Raw genomic sequence first — 27311 nt, 5'->3', positions numbered from 1 at the left:
AAGCAGTTTGTAAGTCTCCTACTAAAAAAAATCAGAGTATTTTGGAATACTCAGAGTATTTCGGTTCAGCTGTACTGAACCGAAATGACATTTTGCCAAATCTATTTATCTATCTACCTATCTATCTACCTACCTACCTTTCTATTTATCTATATCCATCTATCAATCATCTATCACCTTCCCAAGCAATGCAATCTGTTTAGAATCCTCTGTCTTATATGTAAGTAGCTGGCACATTAGCAGCTTGTATGAAAGGCCCCCTCAAAAAAGACTTAAAAAATCCCCAATCAAATGGAATGCATTGAATAATAATCCTCCAAAAGATAGTTCCAAGTCCTAACCCTTGTTATTTGCAAATGTGACCTGATTTGGAAATAATGTCTTTATGAATGTGATTCAGTTAAAGATCTCAGGATAATATCATCCTGGATCTAGGGTTGGCCCTAAACCTCAAGACGGGTGTGCTTACAAGAGAAAGGAGGGGGGATTTGACTCAGAGACATGGCGGGAGGCCATGCGCAGGCGTCTAGCAGAGGCCAAGATGAAGCCCCTGCCTGGGTGACTCAGGGAGGGCAGTGCTGCAGAGGAGACAGAGGATTCTGTGTGCAGGGGAGGAACAGGGAGAGACACGCAGGCTTCCTCAGCTTCGAGAGCCTCCCATCCCTCGGATTGTCACCCACCTCTCGGATTCTGCCTGGGGCTACTCTACAGGTTTTCAGGGGCCCAGATCCCATGAAGAGACACCGAATTTGCTTTTCACTGGCTCTATCAACAGTGAGTGAGACAGAAGGAAGAGCCCAGGAGAATCCTCCAGGACATGCCTGGGACCCCATGACCCTCCCTGCTGGGGCTCTCATCTAGCACAGCCTCAAGTGCGGTTCTGGGATTTTCTGATTCTGAAAACAACCTGAGGAACTGGAGGGCTTCACATCTTTCTACGTAGACAGAAGAACCAGTTACTGGGCTGGAGTACAGGGCAGTTGGTGACCCTGTAGATTCTTGGGTTCTAAGCTCTCCTACAAAACAACAGCTTCATTTTGAGGTCATGTAGACTGTCCCCTGGTTTTATAGTATAAATGTATCCCACCTCAATGTGCTGCTGTTTAAGCTCTGGTGAGACACTAAGCTTCTTTCTTTTTCAAAAGAGACTCCTGAGTTGGTTAACACATCTGTCATAAACTAGACTTTAGTACAGCAAGTAGTACTGTACCTGTTGCACAAGAGATGTGTTATGTTTTCATCAAGGCTACTTAGATACCTAAAGCAATATTTAGTATACTGATTTGCTCAGAAAGCAAACATATCTCCATCATTTCAAAAAAGATGGTCATGGAGCAGGAAAAATAACAATGAAAATAAGTTGCAAAATGCATATACTATCATTTAATAAACCAATCAGGAAATACAGTAACTGAGGCCATGAATGCTTTACTTATGGCACTTGAAAAATCTTATTTCCAATATGGAGTGTTTTGTGATATACCTCCCCTCCTTTCGGGGAAGGGAGTACTAAAGCACTGGATCACAGACTTCAAAGTTCTTACCCAGAAGACTTGGGGCCTTAGTAAGTCATTCACTCAATGATTTTGGATGGCAGGTCAGCCTCCTGGCTCACCTTGGTATTTCCCACGGTGTCTTATATAGATTCGGTGATTTATAGCTGGTGTTAAAGAATGGTTATGAAGAATGGTAAATCCTTTAGAGGGAGTAATAATTTTTCTAGGCCTCTAGATGTAAATATTACTTTTTGCTACACTAAAGACAAAAATGGAATGACTCCCTATGAGACTGGTATCAACCCAATTGTGTAAAATTGGTGCTCAATCATAATATTGAACACTTTTGATTATTTATCTTAATTAGAGGGTGATGGATCAACTGTCAGCCATTGGACTTAACCATAATTATGTAGTGGTACTGAATGTGTATCATCTCAACGACCAATAACAAAGTTGGGAGAATTTAATTTGATACGAGTTTCTTAAAATTTGCTGCTGTGAAGGAATCTGAGAGATGATTCTAGCAGGAAAAAGCATCCCCAGTATGAAATGGAGAAACAGGTGATCCCACAGAGGGGATGGCTGCATTGTTTTCTGAGAAATGATCATCTAGGTGATATTATTCAAGGAAGCGCAATTCTCTCACATCTAAATTATAAAGTACTCAAGGGAGAGCATGCCTGCCATATGAGTGAGAGCAGAAAGACGGCCAGTCGTGAGAAAAGAAAAATGGGTTGCAGGAGAAACCAGGGAAAAAGAACCGGATATGGTGCAGGTTGTCAAAACTGCAAGCCAAAGAATGCAGAACAGAGAAAATGCAAGAGGGGTGGTGGGGTGGGAAGAAGGGACCTCAAACAGCTTTGCAGCAGGACAGGACAGCTCGGTGCTAGGGAGATGGATGAGGGCTGCACCATGAGCTCCTACGGAGGATGCAGCTCACACTGCTTGGGAAGCTAGAGGACAGTTGTCCCGGACTGCTGGCCTGACAGCCAGATCCAGACTTGGTCCAACTGTCTATGCAATTACCAACAGCTTTTGGGTGGGGAGAACTGGAAGCCAACTGGAAGCCAGACCCAAACTCATAAGTATAGTGTACCTCTTAGATATTGGGCAGATTTAATGGAATTGGCATTGCTTCTTCATGGGTTCGTTCCAAATACATAAATCACTGCTTTTTGTTTGTTTCACACCACGCTTCATAGAACTTAAAACAGACTGTGGACGAGGCAGAGGTGCTTGGCTTCAGATGAGTCTTGTAGTCTTTGGGCAACTGTCTTTGTTGAAGGCAGAGGAAGAATAATTGTCTTTAAAAATCTTGCACCCACAGCCTCTGTGGGAGACCAGAAGGGTTGGAGGGACCAAAGAAGGAAGAACAGTTTCATTTGCATTGCAAAATAAAACTTTTTAACAGGGGATCATATTTCTAGGAATGATTGCAAATGACAGCAAAGGTATTCAGGCCCAGTTCAAACAAGTGTGCTACATATTCTGAAATGCAAATGAAAGCCCTAGTCAAGGGGAGATTTTTTTTTTTTTTTCAAATAGTGTCAGTTATTGAAGGAACACTTTTGTAGGCTTACAAAAACTACAAAATTTGTTTTGAGATTTAACAGGAAATTAACTGATTAAAATTTTGGCCATTCATAACATTTGCCTTTTGTGGAAAATACGAAAGATATTTTTCCTTTTGTCTATATCGAAGCATCCACACCCTGTACTAACTAGTTTTATCTTCAGTGATAAGATGATTCTAATTCTTAGACGTTTGTTTCCAAGAAGATTAACTACAATGCACAGCAAAGCACTATTAATACAGCACTTTAGAGAAGGTATACATACATATATATAAACAGACTTCTTACCTGTCTACCCAGAACAAGCAGTGTGATGAAGAATATAGAGAGAGACACAGAGCCCATGGTCTTCAGGTCTTTCCAAATGCCTGGTCTATTAAAAAACAGACAGACAAACAGACAACAATGCAACAAAACAACACGCATACAGGACTTAGAATTTGAATATCAACAAATATCAGATTCTCTAGTGCCTGTCTACATCATATACCAGCCAAACACAAGTTTCAAATCTCCTTCCAAACCCAGCTTGCATTAAAACAAAACAAAAATCCCTATTCTGAGAGCACAGTAAAATCATACAGACTTCCTACTTTATATCAAGCTATACCAAATATGAAAAGAAGACATACAAGAATATTAACATTTTCTTTATACTTCTGGGATCAGTATGGGTAATTGGATCGATGGTTTCTTCAATGTTTTCATCATTACTCTCGGAAAGAGACAGTATGCTTGAAATGAGTAATCACGTGAGGTATAAACATGAAGCAGGGAACTTAATTTCTGCAAGCTGAATTACACAGTTTCATATAACTTTCAAGCAGTCATCCAATCTTATTCACTCTTTCATATGATTTTGTATCACAAAGGCATAACAGAGATGAAAATTTTGGGTACACTGCCTGAGTGACCTCAGGTTCAAGTTTATAATAAATGACATCAGTCATTCATCCCTGCCAAGATGTCACTGCACTGGGTGGGCTCCCCCAATCCTCACTATCACATTCCAGGCAGTGAGCACCCACACATCCTTCAAATGCTGACATGCGAACATTACATAGGACTGTAACTAAGACCTGAAAAATAAAAATGGATGGTGCATGGACACCACGTCACATAAGCAGCATCGATGGCATTTGATCAACTACAAACAGCAGGTCATCACTTTCTGCTTGTGTGTCGTCCTTGTTTTTTTTATTTTTCCAGCTTCTCTGTGGGGGGTTCAAGGACAAACGAGATAACAAGAGGCTTTGGTGTAGTATTAAAAGCCCAGGTGGGCTTTAAAGCAAGAGAGCCTGGGTTTGAATCCTGAGCTATAGGACCTTGCATAAACCGCTTCAAACGTCACTTTCCCCATCAGTCAAAGGTGGGTACCAACCCCTACCCTGCAGGCTGTTTTAGCCACTACATTAAATACTTATATCCCTGGCACAGAGCCTGACACATAGGAAACTCTTTCCAAATGATACTTGTGATTTTTAACATTAATTACAGAATGATAAGGAAGGGGAGTGGGGTGAGGCTAAGAAACTAGAGAAAAAGATAAGGAAACACAGACTGGAGAATATTATTAACAGAAAGAAAGACTCAAGTGCAAAGAAAAGGTGGATTCCTGCAGGAATGAGGAAACAGAATTGCCTGGTCCCAGTGGCTTATGGGCTTAGAGCCACAGAGAACTCTCCAGTAAGGTTGTGCTTGCATTAGGAGTTCTTTCCTCCCCACCAAACCTGCCGCAGCTGGAGGAATCTGAGCTCGTGAAACTTAAGGAGGTCACCATTTCTCTCTGAGAATGAAGCTGGGGAGCAGTGCTGCCTTCCTGTTTCACTGGCTTTGATTTTATAAGATGAAGTTGCTCCTCTCTGAGCCTATGACTGCGGTGTCCAACAGCACAGCTGAAGTGACCGATGGGTGCAGATGTCTAAAACCAATTCTGACTCTGACTTTCATGAATTTTAAACTCTTTTTACCCTATATTGACCATGCTCATGCTATATTGAATAGTGAAAGTGGTACCACACAGCTAACATCCTACGAAGCTAATGTAGGCTGAGTTTTTAATTTGCATGCTGCTTTGTGAATATCACATTACTTTACAATTCCAAGGGGCCAGAAAAAGCATCTATGACATCCCCTTCTTCTACCCACCACCCTCATAATTCCTAAACTAAGAGTAAATCTCAGGCCAGGATTTATAGGAGCTTCATTAGTGCAACAAATCAGAACGCAAGTCCCCTTTGCATTTCTAACTAAAGGACCAGATGCCCCAAACATACAGAGCCAGCTTAGGTCCCTCTCACTGACAGAGACATAGGTAGGATCCTCTTAGACAATTCAAGACCTCGCTGGGTTTTCAGTTAATCAGACAGAAAATTCACACAAGCAACCTATTGGGAGAAATCCTGTCTGGGGAGTCCTCACATTAATGCATTTGAATCTTGGTTTATGGGGGTAGAAATACCCTGCTCACCCATCTCCCAGATCTTGAGTCTTCCTGAGGAATAGTGGTGGGTGGAGGGGGAGCTTGGAGGAAGCTAGACCAGCAGAGGCTCTCCCTGCAGGACTGGGGAGTGGATTTGAAAGTGCAGACCTAAATGGATCTCAGGAATCACGAGGCACGAGCAGCCCACAGAGCCAACTGGCATACCAAAACACGGCTGCCTTTTTCTCTTCTGAAGTTCTCTGACAACTACTAGGGACTCCATCTGGCTTTTCTGGATTTCACTTGGATTTCTGAAGACTTCTTTCATTCTGTTAGCAAAAGAGAACTGCCAACTCCTACTGAAGGACTTCTCTCTTGTGTGGGCCACTTGTGGATAGATGCTGTTAGGGCCCCTATGGTTTCAGTGACATTTCTCCACCGTAGATCAGTTCCTAGATCACCTCACTCTTTGTGTGTCCATGAGAAAGGTGGTGAGAAGGAGGGGCATGGAGCATGGTGGGAGTCAGGGAGAGGTACATTAAAATCCCAGGACATCTTTCTGGCAGAGTAGTCAGTTGTGTTGATCTCTGAATTAGTTTCCTAGAGTTGCTATAACGAGGTAGCATAAACTAGGTGACTTAAAATAACACAAATGTATCATCTCAGTGTTGTGGGGGCTAGAAGTCTGACAGTAGGATGTTCTCAGGGCCATGTCCTTCTGAAACCATTAGGGAATGCTTCCTTGCCTTGGTCTCACTTCAGGTAGTTTGCTGGCCATCATTGGCTTTTCTTAGCTTGCCACCACATGACTCCAATCCCTGCCTTCATCATCACGTGGCATTCCTGTGTGTCTGTCTCTTCACCTGGCCATCTCCTTAGGAGGGCATCACTTATACTGGATTAGGGGCCACCCTCCTTCAGCATGACCTCATCTTAACTACTTCCACTTGCAAAGATTCTATTTCCAAATAAGGTCACATTCTGAGACACTGGGGACCAAAGCTTTATATCTTATTTTGGGGGACACAATTCAGCCCACCAATCAGGTCAGCTGTTTAGAGAAATATGAGCTGCACAGCTAGTTGGGTATGAGCTCTCTCTCCTCCCTCTCTCTTTCCCTCTCTCTTTCTCTCTCTCTCCTTTATGTTTTAAGGATGAAATCTACTTCAGATCTCATGTGTTAGGGTGGCACCGTCATTGAGTTATGAAGTAGAGAAGACACAGCTAATATAACAGAAAGTTTCTAACTACATGATTTCCAACACAACGACAATGGTAGCCAAAATGTGATGGAACACACTTCCTTTCTTATCTAAAAATCAGACACTGGGGACTCAGATGCTCCCGTGCCGCACAGGCGTCTGCCGTTGGCCCTCCGCCTGAGGTTGTTAATGGAGTAATCATTTTGCTCATCAAGTTTCAGGAGTCCAAAAGAACACCACACCCCAACGTACTGGTGAGGGAGATGGAGGAATTGCTTAGTGAACCAGCCTCTAACCTGAAGGCAAACACTTCAGATGGAGTAAAAAAGGACATTTTCATGATTCTCAGGAGGGAAAGCAGTCCAGGCACATAGACACAAACATTATCCCACCTTCAAAAACTTTACATTTCTGTGGGTGAATATTTTTAAAAAGAAAAGTACCCAAAGGAGTCTAATTTCTCTTGTGCTGTTAACAGTGGTTAGCTGAGGTAAAATCATATCTTCTCAGGTCACTAATTGGGATAAATAAAAAAATCGGTTCACTGATCACTGAGGGCCACAGCTTATAAAGACCAGGCTAACAAGGAGACAATGACTTCCTTCCCCTTTACCCACACAATATCCTCATGGTCTTCAGCTAATCTCTCTTTTATCTTTCTTTCCTGCCTCTGGTTACACCATTACATTAGAAAATGCCTGGCTTTGTCCACAAGTGACCCCCAAATCCTCAGGAATCGTCAGTATCAAACGATGCAGAAAGCAAATGTCTTGTCCGAATTGATAATGCCACAAGGACGAGTCTGCTCACTGAGCCTCACTCAGCAAGGGATTGGGACCTCAATCACAGAGCCAGAAGACAACATTGTCCTGCGTAAAACAAGATAAAACACCCCAGAAAACTAATCTGAGGTTAAGATGCATAAGGCAAAATAAGTCAGTCCCATGCCTTGTCAGAAAATCTTCATCTAACTCTGACTTGAGAAGCAGCAGGGAATTGCTAAGACACACTCGGTCTACTTTCATGGTGTCCTCTCCTGCTGTGTTTGTTGCAGATCCTGTGGATTTCCTCTTTGGACTCTTCTCCCAAACTTGAGCCACTGAGGCAGTAACTTCCTCCTGGCCCGTGGCTGGCTGGTAAAGTATGGGATCAACAGCTTAGCCAGGGTTCCCACGCTCCGTATCAAGGGCATTCAATAGAAGTGTGTTGTGAAAATGAATAAATGAGTGGACAAATGACTGTGTTGGCTTGGAAATGGCTCATCTTCCCTAAGGGGTTTCTGGGCATTCTCTCCTCTCTGGCTTGGACACAGATGCATCAGAATGCCATGTGAACTTGCAGCAAAGATGGCCCAACATCTTCCAGGGACAGATGGCTCAAAGGCTCCCGCTTTTTCAGAGTTGTGTTCATAAATGCCAAGCCAGACATGCCAGTGCTGCAGCAGAACCACAAATTAAGGAATAGGCTCCTGCTTAGAAAAGAGCTCCGGAGGCAGTGGCAGGTCAGAAAAGATGACAAAAGTGTGTGTTGGGGGGGGGGTTGGACTGGGAGTGCTGGCCCTTTGCTGTGGAGACAATCATGTGACCTGATTAATGCAGTTGTGGTTTCCTTTTGTGAAGAAGAGTGATTTTAAGTCGGAAGCCACTGCTACCTCAGAGCGATCTGATGTGGTTGGGCGGGGCATGGCTTTAGCATCACATGGAAGAACTGATGATTAGAAACACTGCACATTCTATGGAGTCTATGCCACAGACCCTGTGAAACCCTTCCCCTATTCTAAAATCAAACAGAACAAAACAAAAGAGCCTAAATATCGAGTTTCTTCCTGCAGATGAGTCCAAACCACAGGACATTTTCTGTTTTAGGTCAGATAGAGAAGTAGTTCACTAACGGTTGCTCTTTATAGAAGGAAAAGAAGCTTGTTAGACCCTGCATAGCCCTAGGATGACTTGCTTTGTTGTTAAAGTTAGGCAGCTGGGATTGCTTCCCTCCCTGCTGCCCTGATAGTAGGTATCAGGCACAGAAAAGCATGCTGTGCTCCTCACTTTCTGAAATGGCATAGGGTGCAGGAAACAGGCAGAGTGGGGAAAGCTGAGATGGTAAATCTGAAAGGAATCGAAAATATTTTCAATATTAACTTGACTATATTATGGCTTGGAATGCAAATTTGAAATATATTCTTCATTTAAAGAAAAGACATGAAAACAATTTCAGGTTCTTGGGAATATCCACAGACCATCTGCCCCAGGGTAAGGTCTGCAGCTCTTCCTGACCTTTCCTGTGTGGGATAGGTTTTCTTGTTTTTCCTCAAGACTTTCCTTCAGTTCATCATCAATCAATCCCTCGTTAGGACATTGTGAAAATACATCGCAATATCCTAAATTCCAGCCATTGGGATTTCCATGAGACATGGGAAAATCAGGGAAAGCAGAAAAATACCACAAGGAAGGTGCTTAGTTCATGCATCTCAGTGACAGGTGCAAGTCCAAGCATCTCCAATGCTCTTCCTGATAGGAGGCTGTTGCTAAGGCTGGGAAGGTAAACTTTTGCAGACATTTCAGCCAGTTGCAATCTAGAGCTTCTGGATGAGGCTAAGCACTGTTTATCACTGCTGCTTAAACACCGTATTTATGTGCTTTCCAGAAAGTACTTATTTTACTGGGCTAAAGTTCCAGCACAGAACTAATTGGTCTTTAGGGATCCTTGTTAGTTAGCTGCTCTGCTCAAGCTCTCCATGTCCCATGTGTCTCTAGAATTAAAGGTAGATTTCTAGCCTCCAGGTGAGTTAACATAATGGCTTGGTCCAAGTGAAATAACACCCATCCCTTGAGACTTTTCAGTTCTGTAAGAAAAAAAACTCAGGAAAAATTTGACAACTTCTTGCAGACACAGTAGCAAGTTTTTGTCATGGGAAGGATAAGTGTCTTTGAGACAAAAACAGCTTCCAGCAACATCAGTTGTTATTAACATCACCATCACCTTGAAGAGCAGTTGGTGTCTCAACAGCTCTGGCTAAGGGATTTGGGAGACAGTGTCATAGATAGGAACCACAACCATTATTGATCAATTCACAGACAATATGGAGGACTGCTGTGAACACCAAAGAATAGGAAACATCTGAGAAACTGCCAAGCTGCCTTCAGCAGGAGGCGACTTATCCGAATCACGTCCCAGCAGGTCACGTTAAATACTGGGACACTCCTGACCTCCTTCCTAATGGATTTTCAATGGCACACTCTCTCTGAGTGGTCTTTTTTTCCTCCTGAAAAGTCTACTTTTCATACTCTTGAATGTGTAAGAATGTCTTAAATACCATTTTCTTAACTATTCATCGATACGAAGTTTTTCTAGTGCATACTTCTCCTTTTTCCGCTGCCAACTCCATTGGTTTGTAACATCTTGTTGGCTTGCCCATGAGCAATGCCAAGTTGGTTCTGAAAAGGCCTTGCCATAGGAGCCATGACGAAGTCACATGCAGGACAAAGTACAGAGGAAGATGGCTGGCACTGCCTTTAAACAGAGATGCCTTCCCTGAACTTTCCTTTGAAATATAAAGATATAAACAGAACCTGATGTGGATACTAAAAGACACATCCTCAGTGATCTGGAGATAGGCTCTGTCTTCAGGGAAGCAGGTGAGGCGAAGAGATTTCAGGAAGCTGGTGTCAGGCTCTTCCCATTGTTCGAGAGCATGACATGCTTTTGTTCATTCATTCAACAGATGTTTTTTGAGTACTAGATGCCAGGCACAGTTGCAGGCACTGTTCATAAGCCATGGTATTTAGTTCAGATCTTCTCTTCTGCATGATTCAGAAGAGTGTGTTAAAGTCCTCAGCCCATATGTGTATATCACAGAAAAGGGGTTAACAGGCAACAGAAGCCATGTCCCCTTCATCCAGGATGGGTACCTTCCACCTTTCCGGGGTGAAACAGGACAGAGGAGCTGCTTGGTCCTCAGGCACACCGAGGGGTGAAAGCCAGAAGCTTGAGGGAGGTCTATGTATTAGTTGGGGTTTTCCAGAGGGCTAGAACTAATAGGATGTATATATATATATATAGAAGGGAGTTTATTACCGAGAATTGGCTCACCAGATCACAAGGTGAAGCCCCATGACAGGCCGTCTGCAAAGCAGGGAAAGAGAGATGCTGGGAGTGGCTCAGTCCAAGTCCCAAAGCCTCAAAACCAGGGAAACCAACAGTGCAGCCTTCTGTACTAAGAACCCTGGAGATACTGCTGTACAAGTCCTGGAGTCCAAAGGCCAAAGAACCTTTGATGTTGGAGTTTGATGTTCAAGGGCACGAAGCATCCAGCACAGGATAAAGATGAAAACCATAAGAGCCAGCAAGCCAGCTTATTCTTCTTTCACCTGCTTTGTTCTGGTTGTGCTGGCAGCTGATTGGGTGGTGCCCATCACACTGAGGGTGGGTCTTCCTCTCCCAGTCCACCGACTCAAATGTCAGTCTTCTCTGGCAACACCCACGCAGACACACCCAGAAACAATACTTTACCAGCTACCTAGACATCCTTCAATCCAATCATGTTGACATCTAACATTAACCATCACAGTGTCGTCAGAGCACTCAAGGTCAATGAGGAGCAGGTCTAGGGGCCTGGGTGGACAGGAAGGACACTGACCTGCCACAGCCAAGCAAGGGTCCCAGAAAGAAGACCAGAACAGAAGAGAGAAGGCAAGGAGTAAGAATGAGGCAAGAATGTGGCGCCCAGAGACAGGTCACCAAACGGATGGGACAAAATGCCGTGACTTCAATGGCACAGAGGGGCTCAATCAGAAAAGGCAGTGCTGCCCGGCCGTCCTGTGAGCCAGCTCCCACCCTCAGAGGCACCTCTGGCTTTGGATTAAGTGATGTTCACTCTCAAGGCATCATGTTACACAGCTTTTTTTTTTTTTTTTTTTTTTTAAGGATCTCACTTTCATATTGGGAAGTGTGTGTCAGCATCAATAAGCAAGGCAAAGGATGAGAAAACTGATTTCAATTATTTGATGGGGAAAAGCTCTTGGATCTCAGAAAAGAGAAAGAAAACATTGACATTGATTGGTTTTACCTCTGGCATGAGTCACAGGGTTACGTAAAACAGGCAATGAGGCTGGAGAAATCGGGGGGCTTCTAAATTCCCACTCTTAAGGGTCTCCCATGTGGGGTTAGTTTTAAGTGGACATCATAGAATATTCATTGATTTTGAGGTATTATGCTTTTCTGCTATCGCATCAGTTAAGACTCATCTTTCCATTGAAGATGCTTCTGATAATATCGTGCAGCCCGTTCAGGGATCAGTTCAAGAAGTGCCAGAACTTCTGATGAAAATTAGGAAGTAGGAAAAAATAATGAGTAAGACCTACTATTTCATAGCACAAGGCAACTATAATCAATAATAACTTAATTGTACATTTAAAAATAACTAAGTCTGGGTGCGGTGGCTTATGCCTGTAATCCCAGCACTTTGGGAGGCTGAGGCAGGTGGATCACCTGAGGTCAGGAGATCAAGAGTAGCCTGGCCAACATGGTGAAACCCCATCTCTACTAAAAATACAAAAATCAGCCAGGCATGGTGGCGGCTGCCTGCAATCCTAGCTACTCAGGAGGCTGAAGCAGGAGAATTGCTTGAACCTGGGAGGTGGGGGTTGCACTGAGCAGAGATCAAACCACTGTACTCCAGCCTGGGCAACAGAGTGAGACTCCATCTCAAACAAACAAACAATCAAAACTAAAAGAGGCCAGGCGCTGTGGCTCATGCCTGTAATCTCAACACTTTGGGAGGCTGAGGTGGGTGGATCACTTGAGGCCAGAAGTTTGAGAGCAGCCTGGCCAACATGATGAAACTCTGTCTCTACTAAAAATATATACGTGTATGTATATGTATATGTATATGTATGTGTGTGCATACACACACACACACACACACACACACACACACACAAAGTAGCTGGGCATGGTGGCAGGCACCTGTAATCCCAGCTACTAGAGAGGCTGAAGCAGGAAAATCGCTTGAACCCAGGAGGCAGAGGTTGCAGTGAACCCAGACTGTGCCACTGCACTCCAGCCTGAGTGACAGAGCAAAATTCTGCCTCAAATAAATAAATAAGTAAAAAGTGTAACTGGATTATATGTAACACAAAGGATAAATGCTTGAGGGGATGGATACCCCATTCTCCATGATGCAATTATTTCACATTGCAAGATGTATGAAAACATCTCATGTACCCCATAAATATGTATACCTATTATGTATCCACAAAATTTTTTTAAAAAATTAGGAAGTGAGAGACAGGTGCGTGCCCCCGAGGAGGATGCTGGCTTTACTGATGGAAGTGAAGGCAAGTCGCCGAGGCTTCTCAAGTCAGTCTCCCTAGCTTCAAGGTCATTGCAAAGACAAACCGAGCGCAAATACAAAACACCTTTAATACAGAGAATGTGATCTAAAGGCAAAACTCCTTTTCTTCAACCTGATAACTAGTCTCCTGCTGCTAGGGTTCCATTCAGAGATTATCTCTTCAAGCGCCCCACTGAGGTCCCCAGAAGCAATTCTCTCCACACCAGAAACTTGCTAATCTGATTTCTTCTTTTGCTGCAGATGTGTAACATATTCAGGTGCTTTAAATTTAATAAAAGGAAACTTAGTAGCGTTATCAGCTGCGCGTGAAAATCAATAATGCTACATTTATTTAGGAATACAACACAGGCTTTCTGGATATAGTAGAGCAATAGTAAAGCATGTTTAGTTGGCAATTTTGAGAATTTATTGGAAAATTAACTTCCATTCTCATTTTGGCTAAGGAATCATAAATATAATTATGCATTTTTGCAACCCCACTGCCTTAAGCTTGATTACAGATTAGTAGAGTTTCATCGTGTGGAAGATGATGAAAATTAAATTAGGTGAAAAGAATGGGTTGCACCTTCTGCAAAGGTTCTTATTGGTAAGAAATGTCTACACAGTGGGATAACTGCCGTTCCTAACACCGGGTCTCCAGTGAAGAAATAGGTGGCCATGTACTGTCAACACAAAACAACTTTCTGGAGTAATAAATCAATGCAAATATTTAAGGCATTTATATTATTTTAAAATAAATGTAGAAATAAGATGGAGGACAGTGCCAAGCACTCCTAGAAAATACTTTGACATCTGGTGGGTTCAGAAATAAACCTAACACTTGTTATAAAATGTTGTTTTGCTTTTGAGATGTGATGTGGAAAGTATCATAATGATTAAAACAATTTTTTTCAAACAAATATTCATTATAAGCTTATGGAAGTAATTTGGTAACAGGAAACCGGTTATAAACCTCAGTGAGTACACCTGGTAGAATCATTCTTGCTGCATCTAGGCTTATGGTTGAAAGACCTAAAGCAACCATATATTTTCTTGGAAGTCAATTTCTCCACAGAACAAAGAATTTTCAGGACTGATAGTTCCCCTTCCCCATAACAGTATTTTAGAAAATCTCTAGTGAAAAATGTAACACTGTAACTTGTGAATACAGCTACTTATTTTTTCAATATTTTGCTTTGAACTGAGGGCCATTTTGCCTTCCTGAGGACATTTGGCAATTTCTAGGGACATTTTCAGTTGTCATGACTTGGGGCAGAAGAGACTCTGACTGGCATTCAGTGGGTAAAGGCCAGGGATGTCACTAAACACCCTACCTACCACGCACAGGACGGCGCCCGCAACAGAGAATTATTTAGTCCAAAATGTCAATAGTGCTGAGGTCGACAATCTTAGATTACTTTTGTCAACATAGTACAGTTATAACACAGTTCTTCTCTCCAAACCACTTCACATCTTCTATGTGTGTTTGGGAATACATAATCAGATGTAATCTATAACAAAAACACATATTGTCTTTCTGAGGCATCACTTCAAAGAAATTCTCTCAGAATGATTTATCAATGACAATGACATCGCTAACTTGCATTTACTCAACACACACTCATGCTATCCACAGGCTGGGAAAGAACTATAGTAAGAGAAGGAAGAGGCCGTGGCTCACCTCTCAAATAAGACCTGGCTGTAGTCGCCCAGGACGTGGGCGTGGGTGTGGAGTAGGATGGTGTTGTAGCCCACCAAGGCCACCATCATGATCAACATCTTCAGCTCATAGTTTACCCGCAGGAACACGGAACAGGATATCAGTCCCAGAATGCAGCTGTAGATAAAGTACTGAAACAGGGAAGGACACCAGACAGATACTTAGGATCTCTTCTGAGAAATGCTGAAACAATTACAATCAGGGGACCACCGCCCATCTCATCTGGTCAACATATAAGGTGGCTGTGAAAACAGAGGCTTGTTTCTCATCTTTGATCCAGTGGTAAATGCCTGGATATGTTAAATTCAGAAAAAAAAAAATCATCCAAAGCTTTCCGACTCAACCTTGCATGATAAATAAAAAGAAGCATGTATATTGCCACTTTTTAGAAATAAATTGTAAAAAAAACTTATATGGAAGACACATCACTATAAGCCAATGTTATCTATTTCTTGAAAATGAAAACACTGTGGCCTCCTATACATTCCTTAAATGTAAGTTAAGTCTATAGGATCTTTTTTGGCCTTTCAATTCTTTAATTCATTAAGAGAATATAAATCATTACAGATAGCTCTGTTAAAAGCATAAGGAAGCCCAGACATTTTATTAAAAGAGAAATTGTGTGTCAGAGGGCCTATTTAAAACAGAAGGACTTAAATTAAAAGCCTTGACCAGGGTGAGTCATGAATCCCCCCGGGAGTTTGACAGGCACCAGAAGAAAGCGGACGAACCAAGTGGCGGCCAGCGAGCTGGTATCTTCCATCTTAGGGCAGAACAAGCTGAAGGCAGGCCTGCCCCAGGTGAGCCATTTCCTCCCCATTTACCACTGCAGGCACCGTTCAGATAGGCTTTGGATAGCTCTGAATTCAACTCTTCACTAACTCATTAGCTCACTTACTTTCAGCCAGTGACCTAACTTGCTTATATCACAGTGTCCGCATGACACTGTAAAATGAGGGTAATCATATTCTCCTTGTAGGTCATTGAAAACAACAGAGATAAAAAAGTAATGCACAGAGCCCAGAGTCCTGCACGCCAGGAGGGACTTGCTGCAGGGAAACAGGTGCCATCCTCAGAAAGGCTTTATTTGCTACATTACGGGGTTTCTGTGAACAAGGGTTTGTGTTTCTATCTCAGCATTCCTAGAACAGAGACAACACTCAAAAAAATTAAGACTTTTAATAAAACATAGATCTTATTGATGTTTTTTAAACCTTGTCTTTAAAAATAGCCCAGCTTTTAAACTACTCCATTTTAATTTCATCATGTTGAGTAAGCCTGGTAAGAACTGCTTATTTTTGTCATTTGAGCTCTTCCTTTGATTTCCCCAGCTAAAGCCATCTACATTAACCTATGTGGAAGGCCACTGATATTAGCTCAACAGTCCTGTTCTTGTGGAAGGAAGAAAGAAAAGTTGGGAATAGGAGCTTGCAGTGATCATATGGCAGGCTTTCTCTTTGTAAGGGGCATGCTTGAGTGGAGGCACTCAAGCAGGAATGAGTAGAAATCCATCAGTAAGGACTTCGACCTGACACTGTGGCTTCAAAAGGAAGACCAACACCTCGCACTGGATTACACATCAACTGGGTCACTCTTCAGGGAGTTAAAGTCTTCCTTTGCATGGGAATGTGAAGGCCACCCTTCACTTCAGGTGGCAGCATTTTAAGGAATACAGAGTGTTGTAAGCACAGTTTCTTAGCTGCAATTGCCCGATGTCAAGTCTCCACTCTTCTGCCTCTCATGCCTTCCCACGACAGAGAACAGGAAAAGGAAAAGAAGAGATGATGTGGGTTAATGTAGTAAAACAATAGAATCAACAGAGCTGTGAACAGGTGGACAGGCAGTATCTCAGAGGGAGGAGGGGTCTAGCATGCTCTTTGAAAGGAGACCTTATTTCTATGAGAGTTCAGCCCTTGTCACCTTAGAGAAGTTACTAAGTATCTACTTCAGGGCAGGTCTGAGGCCTCTGATACAAGGTACATTAATGCTCCATGTTGCTTAGAAGAAGACCACTCAAAGTACAGCAGTGAGTTCTGCAAGACAGGTACAGAATGTGGATAGAAACTTGGCAGAGTGAGCTTGTTTCTGTTGAATATAACGAAATATGAGCTTGCATTTCATATGGCTTCCTTTTTAGTTCATTTTGCTGGTAATTCACCATTACATTTTTCAAAAGCATTAGTCTGTCATAGATTAGAAATTAAAAACACAAAACAAAGCGAAATGAAAAAAGGGCCTTCACAAAGAGTTTGAGAAGCCCTTATTTATAACCTAGTAGCCATTTAATCAATAGTCTTGAGTATTTTAAAACTGCTCCTTCAAACCCAGGAAATTGCCCCAGGAACTGGTGGGGGCAAGGCTCTTATTCAGTGATCCTGTCCCCTCGGATTCCCCAAAGCAGCTGATCTTAACAAGGCAATCCTGTGTCTTCCATGAGTCACTCAAAGTAAAGATGATGATAACACCCATCTTGGAGAATTCTCACGAAGATTAAGTAACAAAAGAGTTCAGAACAGCCTAGTCCATGAGAAGCTTGTAAATTCTGCTATTATTATGATAAACTAAAGTCCTTTGTAAGTTTTGGTTTTTGGAACAGCTCTGTTTCTAAAATTATGCTTGAAAACCACTGTTATAATTAAAGTTATCAACCAGTTCAGCCTAATCGAATGAGAGAGCAGAATAAGGAACCACTTATAAGAGGGTGTGTATGTATCAATGGGTATATGTGGATTGTTTGGTGTGTGGGGACCTGGGGTAAATTTTTAAAGTTTTTCACAGTTTGAACCTTTGAACTAGGTGTCAACACCTATAAAATATGCTAAGGTTTCACATTTCAAAATTCATTCTTAGGCTTTAAAATTTTTATTTTCACATTTCAGAACAACTACTAAAATATGTATGGTAATGGGAAGCATACTTTTAGTCCATTTCTGTTAAATGGCTTTCTAGAATGCTTGGAGACTGTGCAAGAGATGATCTGGCATAAAAAGGTAGGTTGGGAACCTGCAAATAGCCATCCAGGGATGTGTGGGAGAGGACACTGCAGGATACCAGGCTGGGAGCCTGTCCTGGCTCCACGGTTTAGCTGACCGGGTAAGGCTCCAGATAGTCAGCGATTCTGGCAATAGGATACTGAACCGACTTCTATTGGAGTGTACTTACTGGTAACCTGATTGCTAGTAATGTTTACCAGTTTTGACCTAATCATTGAAACCAACTTGCATTTTACAGTAAGGTAACAGCCACCATTATCGGGAGTAATTTATCAACACTAAAGTCTCTGGGTCTTAGCTTCTTCACTTGCAAAACGAGAATCCCAATAATATCTACTTCACCAGGGTCATTTTTGGATGAAATGATGTAATGCATACCAAGTGCCTGCTGTGGTACAAACAACTTGGCAAAGATCTTTATAGCTAATTTGGGTATTTTAAAAGGACTATGTTTTCCCACTAGAGAAATAATACACCAGATGTTAAAAATTGGGAAATATATGAAAGGATATATATAAAAATAAGGGTCTCTGATAATCCCCAACATCCACTTTAGCCACTATTCATTATTTGTATAGGTGTTTCCAGCCTTTTTCTTGCTACTTATTATTGGTAGTATTATTTTTAAAAATTAAAATAATACTGTTTTGTATTTTTTAAAACAATACTTTTCAATGAATAATTTATTATGCATATGCATTTATATGTCATTAATTTTTTTACAATGTCTTATATGGTGGTTAAGCATAACCTTATCGTGTGTTACAATAAAATGTATTTTAAAATTTGCATTTTCATATTTTTAGGTTGTTTTCTTTCTTTTTGTTGATGTTACATAAACACATGCACAAACATGTTTTTGGTAAACCTTTTCACTTTTAAAATTAATTTTCAAAATTAGTGTTACAGGGTAAAAAGTGTGTCTGTCTTGTGCTTTTTGATAACTATTGAAATTACCACTTAGAAGAGTTATATCACTTTATACCACCACCAGCAGTGAACTGGGCATGCTTCTCAGCTTGCTGGTCAACTTCAGGCATCACATAACATAGGGTTTGAGAGAAATGACGCCTGTTTGGCACACACTCACAAAATGGCTTTTCTACTGTTCCCTGGGATCCTTTAGGGAGGAAGCCAGGATGTCTCCAGGCTCCTTGAGGACTGCTAAACCCGTGAGTTCACAATGTGGTTTCTGGGCAGCCAGTCCACGTAGACCTGGGGCTTCCTTGGCAACGCTGGCCAGGATCTTCAAGGCCTCATGATTGGAAAGATAGTAGCCTGTTTACTAAATCCCACCTAGATTTGAGAGACCCTATTGTGTGCTTTTTCAGAATCTTTAAAGGTTGAGTAAATGTTGCCTTTCCCCACTTTAAGTTTTTAATAATTTTCTTTGATTGCAAATAAGATATTATACAGATTTACCTAAATGAAATTCATAATGATTTCCTTATTCTTTTAGTGATGCCAAGTGTGGTGAGTTGTTCGGCTCAAACATAGTGGAAGGAGAGATTTAAAAAAATATTGCAGCTATACATTTTTTTCCTGTCAAAATGCATCTTCATGTTAAAATTTTAAACTCAAAGTGCCACGTGAATGCGAAAGGGGGACTGTTTGGTCGGTGCACTCTCTTCCCAGCAACCAGCCTATGGATCATATGGATGCTAACGCCATTGGATCAAGGAGGAATAGGCAGGCCACACCGTTAATTTAAATATTTCTCTAAAAAAGAGAGCTCCAAATGGCCCACAAATGGCCCACAGTGAGATTACAGTCAATAAACTCTCACAATGACTCTAGCTTTTCACTTTTCACATAACTAAATAGAGAAGGCAACGCCTAGCCCTTACTGGAGTTTATGATAACACCTAATTTGAAGCGCAGGATCTTCTGGGTAGGGGATGAACCTATAGCACCCCCCTCTTCCCAAGCCCAAGGGGACATTGCTTTTGGACCTTGGTCATTTTGCCCATGACCTAGTCAAGGCCTCAGAAGCCTCCAGGAAAGAACACCAGAAGCCACTTCTTTTTTTTTTTCTTTTTGAGACAGAATCTCACTCTGTCGCCCAGGCTGGAGTGCAGTGGCACGATCTTGGCTTACTGCAAGCTCTGCCTCCCAGGTTCATGCCATTATCCTGCCTCAGTCTCCCAAGTAGCTGGGACTATAGGCACCTGCCACCACATCCGGCTAATTTTTTTTTATTTTTAGTAGAGACGGGGTTTCACCGTGTTAGGCAGGATGGTCTTGATCTCCTGACCTCGTGATCTGCCTGCCTCGGACTCCCAAAGTGCTGAGATTACAGGTGTGAGCCACCCCGCCTGGCCCAGAAGCCACTTCTATCTGTGCATGGAGCTGTGAGCTTCCCAAGAAATTAAATGATGGGAAGGGAAAAAGGACCAGAGCAAAATATCAAGGAAGCAAATCAGAGAAGGAGGAATAGGAAATAAATCCACTCTATTGCCAAAGCTAACGGAGTTAAAATTTTTGGTAAGGAATTTTGAAAGCGTACATATTAAATTACCAATTTCAGTCCCCAAAATAGTTCCCTTAGCATTGTCAAAACCCATTATTTGACACGGAAACTAAACGAGCATAATCTGCACTACTTTCAGATAATTATTTGGAAAGTGCAAAGGAGAGTAGCAAAACTTTTTTTTTTTCCACAAACGATTTATGGAAGGACAAAGTTGTTAAGCAGTAAATAACTGACCTAACTCTCCACTTAGAAGACTAATGTGTTAATAAGTTTTGAAGTTTTAACCTAGGTCCTTTGTGACACTGGTTAAGATGAGTCAGTTAGCAAGAATTACTAGGGAACAGAATCACTCAGCAACGTATGTTGCCAAAGAAGAGGGAAGATAATGAGATGTGGGCAGTTTTATCACAGCTTTAAGGGGGATAATATTAATTCACTGGAACAATTAGCAATGTCTCTAAGTAAGAAACCCAGAAACATAGTGCCTTATAATTGAATGCCATATGGTAGGAAATATGCTAGAAATGCTGTAGTGGTTAAGAGAAGAAGGAAACATTACTGGTGAAAGCATGACAATAACATTGTAAGTTTTCAGATATAAGTGTAGCCAGTTCCCAAGGGCCCAGACTTCTAGCAGAGGCTGACATTTGTAAATTCAGAACCACTCAGGGATTGATACCAGAGAGGAAATGCAAAGTCTAGAACAGATCTGAGACTAAAGGATATATGTTATACAGACTACGAGCATACAGGAGAGCCACCAAAGCAGTCATAATTGCAATGTTCTTACCGGGAGGAAAAATAAATTCTGCGCACGCAGAATCGCCACCTGATTATTTGAGGCTGAAAAGCTTGTGTTTGTTGTGTTGGCAGTTGGAGGGATTGTTTCCTCTGAGTCACTCAGGAAAAACTGCAAAGAGAAGGTTTTTTTCAATGAATTAATGTAAATTAGATTAAATAACTAGCAGGTGGGTGCTAACTTTATGAATTCTGTGTTCCTTATGCACAGTAAACAGGATTGTTTATGTGGACTCGGGAATTTCTATTGAATAAGTAATTAACAATTTATTGTTCTATACATTCAATAGAGAATTCCAGAACTTCAAAATTCACATTAAAGGAATTGGAGGCGCCTTTATCAAACAGTAAATTAAAAGTACACAAAGCTCTGGGCAGAGGGCGTGGTTAGAATTACATTTGAAACCGATATCACCTTTGAAGCCAATATCACCATATATACATTCAACTCTCTACCATCAAATCGGAGCCTTCGGAATGCTTTTTTCCCCCCAGTATCTTTGCCATCTTGGCTCAAACATTAAATGAGTCAATACAGTCCTATGAATTTTTGATGTTTAGAATGAAAATTAATTTTATGGGCAAAATGCAATCACCAGCCTCGACATTTGTATCTATTATTTGTGAGTGCCTGGCAACTCAGAATCATAAGGGGTGAAAAATTTAAAAGGATGGATGTTCTCTGGACTGCTGGAAAGGGGATTTAAACTAAAAAAACAAAAAAGGTAATGCTGAGAAAATAATTAGCTCTTATGTAATGGTCACCAATATAAGCATCAGAAGGACAGTATCAACCTGTTAGCAAGGCAGTAGAAATGTGTATCTCTCTTTTTCTCTCTCTCATCCTCTCTCTCTCTCTCGCTCGCTCGCTGTCTGTCCTACAGAAGCTGCACACAGACTAAATACCCACGGATCAGCCACTTTTCTGTCATGTGGCTAAGGGTCAGAGGAATGTTCTGGAAACAAACCAGAGACTCATGACTTCAGCCCATTCCTTTTACTGAAAGAAATTAATCTCATCCATAAACCTATTAAACAGCTTGTGTTTTCTGCATAGGGTTAACCATACATATTCAAGGTTTAAAAAGTAAAATTTCCCTATAGTTTCTATGGTTGCTTTTGTTTGTTTCTGTGGAGTTATTTCTCTGGATTGCATAGTTCTTGTCAAATACCTAAACTAATTTATTTGGACAGATAAGAAGACATTTACTTAGTCTATTCTTGGGAACATTCCTCTCACAGTCAATAGAGATACGAGATACGGTATTTCTGCCGTTATATCATTTGACTAAATTTGGCAAAATGCTGATTTAAGCATCAAAGAAACGTAGTAGATTTCTTTATGTATGATGAAAGAACTTGTAAAAATCATCACATCCCTGGCTGAACTACAAATGTGCTAACATTTTGGAAAAACTTATACGAATGGAATAATTGCTTGGCAAACATCAGGCTCCAAAAGGGTACAGATTTAGATTTAGATTTGATAGACCAAAAATTCAATTGATTTAAATATTAAAAAATCAATAAATGGCAAACAAAAGGAGATTGTTTAGCTTGGTGGGTTACTAGTCTTAAGTGCCAAGGATCTTAAAATAATTAACAAAAACTTCTTGATTATATATCACCTATAGGCAAAAAACTAGGTAAAATGAAGTGTTGCATTCTTGACATACAATGAATGAGTAGTTTACTTTGTGAAAAATGTGTCTTGCAAGGAGGTTTTGCAATAAATATGATGGTTGAACTTAAAGTACAAGAGAAAACTCCAATCACTACACACAACGTTTCCTAACCCACTTCTGCTATGTCTTTCTAGTATTTATTAATATCAACTACCCGTAAATTCAAGAAACTCTTCATTCTGTCTAAAATCATACTACAATTTTGAATCAGCTTCCCTTCCTCCGTCTTCTTTGCATTTTAAAGTAACAAACTCATGTCATTCCCTAATTGTAGCCAGTCAAATACTCAAGAGAGTTACTAATCCCTTGCCCACCTTCCCTCCAGGTAAAACTGCCCCAACTTTCTCCACTGAAAATATTTTTAGCATCATAATGATTTAGGCAGCTCTTCTCTGGACCCAATTTAATTTTCCACATCCTTTGTCACAATTGGGACAATGATGTCATCAATCTGTTCAAAACATCCTAAATAAAATGCTAATGAACACTGCATATTTTTAGTTTACTTGCAAATTTTACATTTCTCAGGCAATTTAAAACATATCAGAATTACATTTTTCGAATCACATTAAATTGTGAACAGGTGCTTTAGTATTGTTTTATGCCTGATGACATCATTGTGTTTGTCATTTGGTTGGAATTAGAAGTCTACCTGACTAGACTATAGTTAACTATGGCTAACTCCTTGTCTGGGTGGCTCACAGATTTATATATGCTTTACTTATAATAAATTTCTTGGAAATTTCTCAGAAGAAATTGCAAAATGCTGTGAGGAATCAAGTGACAACATTCTCAAAATGTCAGGAATAAAATGGCAGCACATTCGGCCACTCATATGTGATTCTCAACAGCTAGCTGGAGACTAAGATGGAAAAAACACTACGTATGAAACAAGCATGGACAACCAATTGTTTTTCTCCACTTTTGATTGAGGTGTTGGTATCACATGGATAAACATCAAGTGTTTAAGATATCCTGTTAAAATCGCACAATTCATTGGAAATAAAACTGACTTGGACATTTTGGCATTCAATACCAATGAGTAATGAGATTTAAAAAGCCAGTTCTCTGAACACACTGTTCCCGTTGACCCTGGCTTTTGTAAGGGTCATTAAAATGCAGGCTGGGAATAAATATCAGTGACTGGAAATTGACGTGGAGCCTCGGGATGAACCAGCCCATCCACCCAGTCAACAGCAGGGACAGGTCAGGGCAGCCTCAAGCCGTCACATGTTACTCCTAATGCATCTCTCCCCTTTGAGGTACAGAGTCATGGCAAGCGATGACAGAGAGGCAATTAATAAGGGCTGCTTGCCACTGGCTGGAAAAACGCAGGGCAAACCAAGGCTCACCGGCTGCAGAGGGACTGGGGCTTCCAGAAGAAAAGGAACACCCGAGGGCACGATGCCAGGGGCAAGGAGCCAGACACAGAGGGACAGATATTGTGTGACTCCACTCATGTGAGGTCCCTAGAATAGGCAAATTCATAGAAATAGGAAGCAGCACAATGGTGACCTGGGGCTGGGGAGAGGGAGGATGGGGAGTGAGTGTTTCATGGAGACACAGTTGCTGTAGGGAAAATGAAAAGCGCTCTGGAGATAGATGGTAGTGATGGTCGCGCAACATTGCAAATGTACTTAATGTTACTAAATTGTATGTTTAAAAATTGTTCAATAATATACCTTATTTATATATATTTTACATAATTAAAAAATACATTAGAGGCCGGGCGCGGTGGCTCACGCCTGTCATCCCAGCACTTTGGGAGGCCGAGGTGGGTGGATCACGAGGTCAGGAGATCGAGACCATCTTGGCTAACATGGTGAAACCCCGTCTCTACTAAAAAATACAAAAAATTGGCCGGGCGTGGTGGCGGGCGCCTGTAGTCCCAGCTACGCGGGACGCAGAGGCAGAATGGCGTGAACCCGGGAGGCGGAGCTTGCAGTGAGCCGAGATCCCGCCACTGCACTCCAGCCTGGGCGACAGAACGAGACTCCGTCTCGGAAAAAAAAAAATACATTAGAAACAGAAAAACAAACAAACAAACAAACAAACAAACAAAAAAAACAAAGAAAATGAAAGCACTCTTCCTCTGTCTCAAAGGGAAAACTTAAAAAAAATCATAGGTGCTATACATGAGGACATGATTGAGGCTATGTCTTTAAAACGATGAAGTTTTCTGAGAGCAAATTAAATGTTCTTCCCCGTGACTTAAAGCATATGCGCGCCCACAGCCCCCCACTCCACCAACACAAATAACTGTTATTCTTGCTGAAATGTGAGTCCGATGCCTGGATTAGTCTCACTGGGTTAACAACTGAGAAATAGAAATACTACTTGGGGATGGGGCTCCATCAGTCTGGAAAATGTGTTCAGAAAAAAAAAAATACGGAGAAAAACATGAAAAGCTGTACTCCTTTAACCAGAAACTGCTCCAGGATGGGCAGGTTAAAGTGGGACTAGGTAAAAAGGGAAACAACCCTGGGACCATTGAACTGCATGTAGGTAAAGACTAGGTTTCACTCACATCCTCAGCAGAAGGTGTCGCCTTCCTGACATGAGTGACAGGAGTATGCTTCCCTTGCACCACCCTGCACAGGTGCTCCCTCCTAACCTGCCTGTCTGCCTGGGCAGTCTGAGTGCTGCATCAGCACCACCTGTGTGTGGCCCCGGGCACTGCCTCTGCCTCACACAGTCAGAGCTCAGGGGCCCAGGGCATCTGCAGATCCTCAGGTGTGGCCAGAGGCAGAGCCCCATGGACAAGTCCTGCCTCTTCTGTGATTAATAAGACATTATAAACAAGGCTCTACAGCCAGGTCATGTTACTTCCTTTCTGTACCTAACACCAACTTTCCTACAGTTTTATGATTTTTCTTTGACATAAGTACAAGAGGAGCACCCGTGTGGTTCATGGCACCAGGTATCAACACAAATGGTATTTTTCTGCACTCTTGGAGGAATTCAGTGCTTGAGCAGCTCTGATTTCTTCTCCCCCTTAATCGATAGACAGGAAAAGTGGGGGAAGGTAATTTAGCTTATTTCCTGCTCCTACTGCTACAGAAGGCAGCTTGGTATGTGGAAAATCTGCAGAAGGCACATTAAAAGTATTAAAAAGTGTGATGAATGATTTTTGAGAAAGAAATACACCTCAAGGGTCATCCATCATACTTTTAATGTGTCTTCTGTGGAGGAAGGAAAACAACACTGGAAGACATATTTCTGTTGCTGAAGGCAGGTGTTCTCTCTCTAAAGGATCGTAGCTACTGTTGAAAGAATGTCTCCTCCTAAATGATCAGCTTGTCAAACATTTATAGACAGTGACTGAACTGTCTGTCAATCATGACTAATTATGCTATACAAAATAGAGTTAGCTTCCAAACCAGATTTGTTTCTCATTTATATCGTCTTTAAGAATTAGGTGATAAATCCTGGTTTTATAAGGTCAAACTAGATGTTACGAAAAGAAATCGTTTCTTATTTAAAGGGCTGTATGCTTACCTATTCATTCACTCATTCTTTCATTTAATAACTAATGAATGGAAGGCACTTTCCTAGGGCATGTGAAAAAAAACAAAGATCTCCTCAAAGTTCATTCTAGCATTATTCATAACACCCAAGATACGGAAACAATCTATCTATTGATGGATGATTAGATAAAGAAATTTTGGGCTGGGCATGGTGGCCCACACCTGTAATCCCAGCACTTTGGGAGGCCGAGGCAGTGGATCACGCGGTAAGGAGTTCAAGACCAGCCTGGCCAGCATGGTGAAACCGCATCTCTACTAAAAATACAAAAATTAGGTGGGCGTAGTGGTGGGTGCCTGAAATCCCAGCTACTCAGGGGGCTGAGGCAGGAGAATCATTTGAACCTGGGAAGCAGAGGTTGCAGTGAGCCAAGATCACCCCATTGCACTCCAGCCTGGGTGACAGGGCGAGACTCCATCTCAAAAAAAAAAAAAAAAAAAGAAAAGAAAAGAAAAGAAATTTTGATACACACACATACACAATGGAATATTATCCAGCCTTAAAAAAGAGAAAAATCTTGTCATTTGCAACAACATAGATGGATATGCAGAACATTATGCTAAGTGAAATAAGCCACGTACAGAAAAATGAATACTGCATGATCTCATACGTGGAATAAAACAAAGTTGAATACACAGAAACAGAGAGTAGAATGGTGGTTACCAGGTGTTGGGGAGGCCAGGAAATGGGGAGATGTAGGTCAAAGGGTACAAAGCTGCAGTCATGTGGGATGAATGCATCTGGATTTCTAATGCACAGCTGGAGGACTTAGTTAATAATATTCTGTTGTATTTAAGATTTGCTGAGGGAGTAGATTTTAGGTGCTCTAATCACACACACAAGAAGCTATGTGGAAGGTGATGGATGTGTTAAATTGCTTGCCTGCAGTAATCATTTCACAATTTATATGTATATCAAAACATCATGTTCCACAACTGAAATTTATACAATGAGAGAAAGAAAAAATGATCTCACTCTTACGTGTGTGTATATGATATTAAATGTATTGTCCCCTAACTCATATGTGCTGCTACTGGCCAGTGAAGGTCAACTCTCAGGAAGTGTGCTCAATTTGCTTGCATGCATGGT

At 41.5% G+C, this 27311-nt stretch overlaps 1 protein-coding gene across 4 annotated transcripts in view, besides 1 other annotated feature; it reads right to left on the bottom strand.

Moving 5' to 3' along the window:
* Positions 1-27311, bottom strand: part of ADCY2 (adenylate cyclase 2) — a 433944-nt gene that overhangs the window by 42271 nt on the left and 364362 nt on the right. For all 4 annotated transcript variants that reach the window (NM_020546.3, XM_011513942.3, XM_047416645.1 and 1 more), the window contains 3 exons: positions 21005-21124; positions 14710-14879; positions 3362-3446 (listed from right to left, as the gene is read on the bottom strand). In NM_020546.3, coding sequence (NP_065433.2) covers positions 3362-3446; positions 14710-14879; positions 21005-21124 — 375 coding nt within the window. The remainder of the gene's footprint in view (positions 1-3361; positions 3447-14709; positions 14880-21004; positions 21125-27311) is intronic.
* Positions 8626-8675: an enhancer, noted in NCBI's record as "active region_22344". NCBI's record gives its function as "activates an Ori minimal core promoter by ATAC-STARR-seq in GM12878 lymphoblastoid cells {active_cell/tissue: GM12878}" and the evidence as "EXISTENCE:reporter gene assay evidence [ECO:0000049][PMID:35858748]".

Source organism: Homo sapiens, chromosome 5, assembly GCF_000001405.40.
Source record: "Homo sapiens chromosome 5, GRCh38.p14 Primary Assembly".
NCBI lineage: Eukaryota > Metazoa > Chordata > Mammalia > Primates > Hominidae > Homo > Homo sapiens.
This window is presented reverse-complemented; position numbering and strand designations above follow the sequence as displayed.